This window comes from Homo sapiens, chromosome 6 (genome assembly GCF_000001405.40).
Source record: "Homo sapiens chromosome 6, GRCh38.p14 Primary Assembly".
Lineage (NCBI taxonomy): Eukaryota > Metazoa > Chordata > Mammalia > Primates > Hominidae > Homo > Homo sapiens.
In genome coordinates, this window is record NC_000006.12 from 130791022 (window position 1) to 130801915 (window position 10894).

At 37.8% G+C, this 10894-nt stretch overlaps 1 annotated feature.

Annotated features, from left to right (window-relative positions):
* Nucleotides 4867-5560: an enhancer, noted in NCBI's record as "OCT4-NANOG hESC enhancer chr6:131117030-131117723 (GRCh37/hg19 assembly coordinates)". NCBI's record gives its function as "activates a minimal SCP1, AML or CMV promoter by ChIP-STARR-seq in naive H9 embryonic stem cells {active_cell/tissue: H9 hESC(naive)}" and the evidence as "EXISTENCE:reporter gene assay evidence [ECO:0000049][PMID:30033119]".

Genomic DNA, 10894 nt, shown 5'->3' on the forward strand with positions numbered 1-10894 from the left:
TCTTCATCTTTACTGTGATAGAGTTGATACTAGATGATCTTGAAAGTTTGCTTCAAGAGTTATATGCTCCTACACTCCTCTGACCATAGCTTCCCTGTCAATCATTAACTCTTCATTTATATTGGTAATTGGATGGCCCCTTTTTTTTTTTTTTTTTGGAGACAGACTCTTGCTCTGTCACCCAGGCTGGAATGCAGTGGCGCGATCTTGGCTCACTGCAAGCTCCGCCTCCCGGGTTCATGCCATTCTCTTGCCTCAGTCTCCCGAGTAGCTGGGATTACAGGCGCCCACTACGAAGCCTGGCTAATTTTTGTATTTTTAGCAGAGATGGGGTTTCACCATATTAGCCAGGATGGTCTTGATCTCCTGACCTCATGACCCGCCCGCCTCGGCCTCCCAAAGTGCTGGGATCTTTTTTTTTTTTTTTTAACATGCTTTCAGAAAATGCTAAAATGTCTATGTTTACAAATGATTTTTTAAATTGAGAACATTTAAGATAGGCTGTTTTCTCTAGACAGCTAAGAGTTCTTTTATCAATAAATTGAATTTACATATCACTGTAGGTGGGTTTCCTCCAAAGAGTTAATTTTGTCCAACAGATAAGGAATCATGGAAACTTCAACCAACAGAAACATTAATGGACTCAAAAGACTGATCATTTCCCATTTTCATTTCTACTATGTTTCAAATCTATTTCCATTGGACGAATATTGCTTTAGGATTAACTGTATGTTAGGCGTTGTACAAGGCACCACACCCTTGGTCCACAGCCTGCATTTGGTTTTGCATTGTGTATACAAATTATAAGTATAAATTAATTTCCTACATGTAAATAAATACCTAGACAGCCTGAGAAGCTAAGCCTTAAAATGTTTTTCATTAAATATATTTACCTTGGAACAGCCTCATAAGGATTAAGGATCCAACAACTCAATCCAACAACCCTCAAAGATTAATACTCAGAAGTCACAGAAACAGGGCCGTAGACTTATCTCTCTGCAACGTCCCCTAACTTACTAAGATTAATGACCGTGACACCAATCTTCACTACACATTACACCGACCGTGTGCTAAACAGGATTTGTGTATCTAAAAGAATCTCAAAATCTCAAGGCCAAGAATCCCGGCCTTCAAGGACTTTATGATATTGTGAAGAATTCTTTATTTAGTCAAACTTCCACTCAGCTGAAAGTCGGTAAGCCTCATGTCATGACAAAGGTAGGGAATCCACATAGCTGGAGTTTGCAAAAAGAAAATATACAGTTGCTATCAATAACAAATTGGAAACAGACAGGGAGAGAAATCGGCAAGCAAGCTGATGATTTGATGATTAACACGGGATCAAAGTGCCTCACAGAAACCTTTGCTTGGGTCATCCTGAAAGTCTATGCCACTGCTAGTCACCATTCCAGGAGTTGTGAATTTTTGCATTTAAACAAGGATAACTGTAAACACCACAAAACACTATGGGGAGCTTGCGTTATATTAACTTAATTCAATCCAAAAACAAAGTGACTAATCCTTTCTAATCTTTCAGAAGGAAAATATTTGTACTGCCACATTTGTAATATCAATATTTATTGCCTCACTTTTAAAAATCTTCTTATGGGGAAAATCTGCTGTTACTTGTTTGGTATACTGCCAGAGCACTTAATTGAGAAACGATAAAGAAAAGTGAACAAAGAAAGAAAAATACGTCAAATATTAAAGAACAATATACTGGGTGGTTTTTCATAAGTCTAGCTCTGGTAATTGTAAAGTTACATGACAACAGTTCCAGTTGTGTAACAGTCAAATCTCATTAGAATTCAGCAAGTAGGAGAAACAAAATCAATTTTTAGCAGTGGTGTGAATAAACCAGTATGTCATTTTATTTGCACCATAACAATGCACCTAATAAGACCTTCTTCAGCCAGGAAACTTTTGAATAAGACAAGTTGATAGAGAGAGGAATTAAATTATTCTGTGATTTATTCTCCCTTCCTATTGGCAAACTATGATCATTATTCATCAATCTTTCTTTTGCTAGTCATGGCATCTGATGTATATAAAAGCAGACAATTCTAAATAACTGTTGTGAAGATATTCAAAATCCTTTCTTGTCAGCTCTGAAATGTTTTTGGCTTTGAAGAAGGTACTATTGAACTCATCTAATATTTGCAGATAAAATCATTTTAACTTTAAAAGAAACACAACTTTTTCTAAAGCAAAGGAATATGGGATTGTAATAAATACTTTTTCAGGGCAAGGAAGAAGGAAAAAGGGAGAATGAGAAATAGAAGAAAAAAGGGGAAGAAAATAATGTCCTACATAAGAGTTAAGATAATGCAAAATGTAAAACACTTTTTTCCTTTTGATTCTAATATATCAACTTTTAAAATTCCCTTTACTCTTGTAAATGGTTGCCACGAATTTCCAAATTCAGCTGGAGATGAGGAAAATACAGAAGGCACTCAAGTAATGTGTGGTAGCCTTACCAGTACTTTCACCCACTCATGTTTTGCAAGGAAGACTTTTCTGAAGCTGAGGAGTATATCATGACAGCAGACAATATATGGGAGAGTACAGAGATGTAAATGTTGCTCCTGATTCCATTCCTACTGACCTGTCTGACCTTTAGCTTTTCTTGCTCCCTGTTTTTACATTTATAATTGAAGTTTTGAGGCAATCTTGAAGTAGCCTCCCAGGCTCCAGTGTTTTCTCTGCTCACAGTCATCGTCCACGTGGCTGCCAGTTATCTTTTGATAACATGTACGTCTTCATCCTGCTATCATGATTAAAACGTCTGCTGCCTTCTCAAACAGACAGGATAAAATCCAGCTCCTCAGGAGGCCCAACAAGGCCCTTGGCAATCTAACCCAGCTGTTCTTTGCGTCTTTATCTTCTACCTCCTTCCTCTTCCCACCCTCATACTATCCTGCGTATCCACTGTTCCCTGAACAAACCACACTTTTGCTTTTTTATGTGCTGTCTTCACTCTCTGAATCCTTTTCTTTCCCTTTCCCTACATCTCCATTGTAACATTACAGTCACCCTGGGGACACCTTCTCCAAGCTCCCAGGCCAGTGTAGCCCTTTGTTTTGAAATGCAAGTTTTGTTATTACTCAGGTATGGTGAGAACAACAGATAAGGAGATGACTGCCATTGGAAAGAGTTTGTTACTCACAGTTCCCAAGAGGAGGGGGCAAGCCACGCCACACAGGGCCATATGGGGAAGCACCAAGGTAGGTCACAAAAAAAGGAGGGCAAGAGCCTTTATAGTGGTTTCTGCAGGAAAGACAAGGCTGGGCAAGGTAAGAAGGCTTAGGATTGGCTGGTTTGAATAATTTCAGCATACTCTGGGGTATAGGGGGTGTCCTTAGTTGTCTGGTCCCTGGTCCTGGAGTGATCAGAGTGGAGAATATTAGCCTTGAGTGTGACAGCCCAGTAGAGGAGGTGGTTGGGTCTGTGGGCTCTGGATTGGTTGGTTTGCATATGAAAGTCACACTCCCTGGTGATGAGTTGTTTACTATCTCTAGGATTTGGCTACTCCTGGGAAAAGCAGTCAGTCTTCCAGAATTAGCAAGGCTCCAAGATATCAAAGCATCAGAATTACAGAAAACAAAAAGGCAGAATTAATACACCCCTCCCTACTGTAATTTGTACAATACTTACATAAAACATTGCATTTAAATTGTTTATTTCTGTCTGCTTCCTCAAGAACAGAGACCCCAACTTTGGAACATGCAAAGATCTAAATGGAAACAGTGAGTGAATGCAAGCAGATTGTGCCTGACAAAGAACCAGAGATGAGTATATTAGATAATCTCCTAACACTGAACTTTCCAGAGATTTCGATATTACAAAGGTTAAAATGATGACTTTGCATCTGGGAACACTTGTACATAATGTCTACATATTTGGCCGTTGGATGTCCAAGGCAAGTCTGTGCAGCACCTGCCAAGTCACAAGACCCAAATAAGCACTTCTTGAGATACGATTTCCTTCAGGCCTGTGGGCTGGGCCATCCATCACATGTGTAAACTGAGCAGCACATTCTTCTGTATCTTCATACAGAGTAAATCAATCAGAACAGCAAACCTCTATTCTTTCTTTATGTTCTTCACTCAGCCACCTTAGATGAATATCCTTTAGCTCATACTCAGTTTTAACAAGAATAATAAACTGAGAGATAATATGAGATAGACTTCCATTTTTCTGTCAAGATATTTCCCTTTTAAGAAACAAGAGAAAAAATAAGCAAAAATAATGCAGAATAGAACTCTTTTAATGCCTTTGATTGTAGCCCATTAAATAAGACCCCCAGAGAGCAGTGTGTGTCTCTGATTGGAGGAGAGCACTACAGAATAAGTGGGGGCCGAGTGCTTGGGGGACATAGCAGGTTACCAATACATGACATTAACCAAAAATAAAGAGTGGGACAAAGCAGTTCAAGAAAATCAGCAGCGGGGAAGAAAACAGAACAAGGACCAGTAGGTGAAAAAAGAAAGGAACACATACACTAATGAATTAGGTCATTCATTTACCAACAACAGTCACTCACTGTGATTGGCAACTAAAAAAACACAGTCAAGCCTAAGTGAAATGCATTGCTTCCATCAAGCTAAATCTATAGCCAAAACATCCAATTCGTTCTTTCTGCCAATTTTACAGCCTCCTCTTTAGGTCCAATGAAACCACTTAAGGATTCTTTTAAACAAGACAATATATGTGAAAGCACCTAACACACCAAAGAGGAAATGAGGCTATTCAATAAATGTGAGTGTTCCATTTCCTTCCCTGTATGCAATTTCAGAAATGACTCCAAACTCATTTTCACTCGCGTCCCTGTGAAGAGACCACCAAACAAGCTTTGTGTGAGCAGCAAGGCTGTTTATTTCACCTGGGTGCAGGCGGGCTGAGTCTGAAAAGAGAGTCAGTGAAGGAAGATAGGGGTGGGGCCGTTTAATAAGATTTGGGTAGGTAAAGGAAAAAGGGGGGTTGTTCTCTGGCGGGCAGGAGTCGGGGTCACAAGGTGTTCAACGGGGGAGATTTTTGAGCCAGGATGAGCCAGGAGAAGGAATTTCACAAGGTAATGTCATCAGTTAAGGCAAGGACCGGCCACTTTCACTTCTTTTGTGGTGGAATGTGATCAGTTAAGGCAGGAGCAGGCCATTTAAATATCACTTCTTTTGTGATTCTTCAGTTACTTCAGGCCATCTGGATGTATACCTGCAGGTCACAGGGGATATGATGGCTTAGCTTGGGCTCAGAGGCCTGACAGTCATCAAATTCCATGGTCAACAGATAAACAATATATTTATCTCACCAAATTGAATTTTATGGTTGGTGAGAAATCCAAGATCTCAGAGTGATTAGTTCACAAAGGGACTCACTGTGTGGTCCTTTCCTACTATTACTCTGGCACTTTCTGGCATGGCCCTCAGCAATTCCTCACTGACAGCCAACAACCTCTGCCTTTGTCTTTATGGCCAGAGACTGAGCAAATACAAGTTCATCCACTTGGCAAATGTGATGTTTCTCTTGTATCTTAGCCAACCAAAACATGCCATTAATGGAAGCCATCAGGCAAAGCATTTTCAGTATCCTGGCTCCTTTCCCATATGTCCCTCTTCCTTCCCTTAATATTTGGGTTATGAAGGGAAACATTATTTATTTCATTTTTTACCTTTGAGTTCCATTGAGCTTCTTTCCACAAAGAGTAACCATGTAACTGAGATTTAGATGACTCTACTGAAATACTGCTTTTTCTACTTCCAGCTTGAGGAATGACTGATAAACAAAAATTCTATATATTTAGGGTGTACAATGTGATAATTTGGTATACATATACATTGTGAGATGATCACAACAATCAAGCTAATTTACATACCTATCACCTCAGTTACTGTGTGTGTGTGTGTGTGTGTGTGTGTAAGATGAGTACCCTTCAGATCTCCTTTCTTAGCAAATTTCAAGGATTTAATATATTATTATTCACTGTAGTCATGTTGTACATTTGATCTCCAGAAATTATTCATTATATAACTGAAATTTTGTACCTTTTGTCCAACATTTCCCCATTTCTCCCACCCCTCCACCCCTAGAGACCACCACTCTACTCTTTGTTTTGTGTTTTAAGTGAAATCAAAGCAAGTTTATTAGAGCAACAGAGTACAGGAAAATGGCTGCTCCACAGACAAAGCAGGGCTATCCCATAGGCAGAATAGCTTGCTCTCTGTTTTTATAAGTTGGCCTTTTTTAGATTCCACGCATAAGTGAGATCATGCAATATGTGTCATTCTGTGTCTAGATTATTTCACTTAGCATAACATCTCTAGTTTATCCATATTGTCACAAATGGCAGGATTTCTTTCTTTTATTAAGGCTGAATAATATTCCATTGTGTGTATGTTGTGTATACGTATAAATACACAACATTATCTTTATGTATTCATTCTTTGATTGACACTTCGGTTGTTTCCATATCTTGGCTATTATAAATAATGCTGCAATAAATACGGGAGTACAGATATCTCTTTGACATACCGACTTCTTTTTCTTTGGATATATAGCCAGGAATTGGATTGCTAGATCATATGCTAGCTCTATTTTTAATTATTTGAGGTACCCCCATACTCTATCCCATAAAAGCTATTGTACCAATTTACATTCCCAGCAACAGCGTGCAAAGTTTCCCTTTCCTCCACATCTTCACCAACACTTATCTTCTGTTATTTTGATAGTAGCCATTCTATCAATAACAGATGTGAGGTGATAGCGCATGGTTTTGATTTGCATTTCCCTAATGATTAGTGATATTGAGCACCTTTTCATATACCTGTTGGCCATTTGTATGTCTTCTTTGAAAAAATGTCTATTGAAGTCCTTTTATCATTTCTCACAGTTATTTGTTTTTCTGTTTTTTGTTCGTATTGTTTTGTTTTACTTTTGCATTATAGCAGTTCCTTACATTTTTTCAAAATTAACCGTTCATCAGATACACGGTTTGCAAATATTTTCTCCCATTCCACATTTTTTCAAAATTAACCCTTCATCAGATACATGGTTTGCAAATATTTTCTCCCATTCCACAGGTTGCCTTTTCATTTTATTGACTGTTTCCTTTGCTGTGTATAATCTTTTTAGTTTGATGTAGTCTCACTTGTTTATTTGTGCTTTCATTGCTTATGTTTTTGATGTCATATCCAAAAAATTTTGCCAAGACCAATATCAAGGAGCTATTTCTCTATGTTTTTTTCTAGGAGTTTTACAGTTTCATGTCTATGTTTAAGTGTTTAATCCATCTTGAGTTGATTTTTTGTGTATGATGTAAGCCAAGAATCTAATTTCATTCTTTCCCACATGGATACCCAGTTTTCTCAACATCATTTATTGAAGAGATAGTCCTTTCCTTGTTATGAATTTGTGGCACTGCTTGCTAAAGATTATTTGACTATATATGTGTGGGTTTATTTCTGGGATTTCTATTATGTTCCCTTCATCTATGTTCCTGATTTATACAGGTACTATACTGTTTTGATTATTATGGCTTTGTGATATAGCCTGAAATCAGGAAGTGAGATGCCTTCAACATTCTTCTTCTTTCTCAAGATTGCTTTAGTTATTTGGGATCCTTTGTGGTTTCATACAAATTTATGATTGTTATTTCTATTGCTGTGAAAAACATAATTGAAATTTTGATTGGGATTGCATTGAATATGCAGATAACATTGGATAATATGGACATTTTAACAGTATAAATTCTTTCAATCCATAAATGTGAAATACCTTTCTAGTTATTTGTGTCTTCTTCAATTTCTTTCATAAGTGATTTGTGATTTTCGCTGTACAAGTCTTTCACCTTCTTGGTTTAATTTATTCCTATTTTATCATTTTTGATACTGTTATAAATGGGATTGTTTTCATCGTTTCTTTTTTGGATAGTTCATTGTTACTGTATAGAAATGCAACTGATTTTTATGTGTTGATTTTGTATCCTGCAATTTTACTGAATTTGTTACTTGTTCGAACAGTTTTTTGATGAAGTCTTTAGGGTTTTCTCTATATAATATCACATTATCTGCAAACAATTTGACTTTCTCTTTTCCAATTTGGATGTCTTTTATTCCTTTTTCTTGCCTAATATATCTGGCTAGGATTTACAGTACTATACTGAATAGAATTGGTGAGTGGAAATTCTTTCCTTGTTCCTGATCTTAGAAGAAAAGTTTTCAGTTTTTCACTATTGAATATGATGTTTGTTGTGGGCTTGTCATAGATGTCCTTATTGTGTTGAGGCAAGTTCCTTGTATACCTAATTTGTTGAGAAGTTTATCATGAAAGGATGTTGAATTTTGTTAAATACTTCTTCGGCACCTGTTGGGATAGTCATATAATTTGTATCCTTCATTTTGTTACTATGGTGTATCATATTTATTGATTTGCATCTGGTGAACCATCCTTGCATCCGGTGAACCATCCTTGCATCCCAGAGATAAATCTAAATTGATCATGGTATATGATGCTTTTAACATTCTGTTAAATTTAGTTTGCAAGTATTTCATTGTGGATTTTTGCATCTAAGTTCATATTGGTCTGTTATTTTCTTTTCTTGTAGTGCATTTATCTGGCTTTAGTTTCAGGGGAGTGCTAGACTCATAAAATGAGTTTGGAAATATTGGCTCCTCTTTAGTTTCTGTGACAATTTGAGAATAAGTGGTATTAGTTTTGTAAATGTTTGGTAAGTTTCACCAGTGAAGCCATCTGGTCCCAGGTCTTTTTTTTAATTGGGATTTTTTTGAATTTTATTGTGATAAAATACACATAACATGAAATTTACCCACTTAACCATTTTTAAGTATACAATTCGGTGGTATTAAATACATTCATAATGTGTGCAACCATCACCACCATCCATCTCCATAGTTCTTTTCATCTTATATAACTGAAACCCTATACCCATTAAACAATAACTCTCATTTCCTCCACCCTTACCCCTGTCAAACACCATTCAATTTTCTGTATGATTTTGACTACTCTAAATATCTCATATAAGTGGAATCACACAGTATCTATTAATAATTAGCTTATCTCACTTAGAATTATTTATCAAAATCCATTCATGTTGTAACACATTGAAGACTTTCCTTCCTTTCTAAGATTAAATAATATTTCATTGTATGAATATATCATGTTTTGCTTATCCATTCATCTATCCATGAATTGCTTCCATGTTTTACCTATTGTGAATAATGCTGCTGTGAGCATAAGTATACAAATATTTCTGCAAGATCCTGCTTTTAATTCTTTTAGGTATATGCCCAGAAATGGAATTGCTGGATCATACGGTAATTCTATTTTTAATTTTTTCAGGAACTGCCATACTGTTTTCCACAGTGGCTGCACCATTTTACATTTCCACCAACAAAGCACAAGGGATCCATTTTCTTTACATCCTCTAAAACACTTGTTATTTTCTGATTTTTGCTAGTAGCAATCCTAATTTGTGTGTGTGTGTGTGTGTGTGTGTGTGTGTGGTAGTGGTATCTCATTGTAGTTTTGATTCACATTTCCCTAATTATTACTGATACTGAGCATTTTTTCATGTGCTTATTGGCCATTTGTATGTCTTCTTTGGATGTATGTCTAAGTCCTTCGATCATGTTTGAACTGATTTGTTTCTTTCATAGTTGAGTTTTAGGAATTCTCTATATATTCTGCATATTAATACCTTATGAGATACATAATTTGCAAATATTTTCTCGCATTCTATAGGTTGCCTGTTTACTCAGTTGTTAGTGTCTTTTGAAGCACAAAATGTTTTAAATTTTATGGAGTCTGATTTGCATATCTCTTCTTTTGTTGACTGTGCTTATGGTGTCATATCCAAGAAATTATTGGCAAGTCCAATCTCATAAAGGTTTTGCCCTACATTTTCTCCTAAAAGTTTTATTATTTTAGGTCTTACATTTAGGTATTTGACCAATTTTCAGTTAATTTTTGTACACAGTATTAGGTAAGGGTCCAATTTCACTCTTGCATGTGTTTATCCAACTTTTTCCAGCACCATTTGTTGGAAAGACTGTCCTTTATCCACTGAATGGTCTTGGTACCTTTGTCAAAAGTCATTTGATCACATATGTGGTGATATATTTGCACAATTTCTATTATATTCCATTGATCTACATGTCTTTTTTATGCCAGTACCACACTGCTTTGATTAGAGTAGCTTTGTCATAAGTTTTAAAATCTGAAAATGTGAGTCTTCCAGCTTCGATTTTCTCTCTCAAAATTGTTTTGGCTACTCGGGTTCCCTTGAGATTCCATATGAATTATAGGATGGGTTTTTCTATTTCTGCAAGAAACATCATTGTATTTTGATAAGAATAACATTGAATCTGTAGATTGCTTTAGGTAATATTGGCATTTTAACAATATTAAGGCTCGCGCCCAGCGCTCTCCAGCCGGGGTGGCGGCGGCGGTGGCGGTGGCGGCGGCAGCGGCGGCAGCGGCGGGGGAGGGGTGCGGCAGGGGAGGGGAGGAGGCCTGGCCCCGCGGTCGCAGCCGCCACCGCCCGCCCCGACCTCCCGGACCGCCGCGGGGCCACGGGCCGGAGCCCCGGATTCGCACTCCGTATTAGCCACGGCTGGGCCGCGCGTATATTTGCCTTCCCTCCATGATCTCCAACACTATCCGATAAAGTAGAAGCAACTGAGGTACCGTGAAAGAGAAAGGAGCTGGAACTGAGAAAAAGCAGAGAAACTGAAAGGCCAACGTGGGAGACAAAGAAGAGCCTGAAAGAGCCAAATCTTACCTTCTGGACCATGACGGGGTTTCGCTGTGTTGGCCGGGCTGGTCTCCAGCTCCTGACCGCGAGTGATCCGCCAGCCTCGGCCTCCCGAGGTGCTGGGAT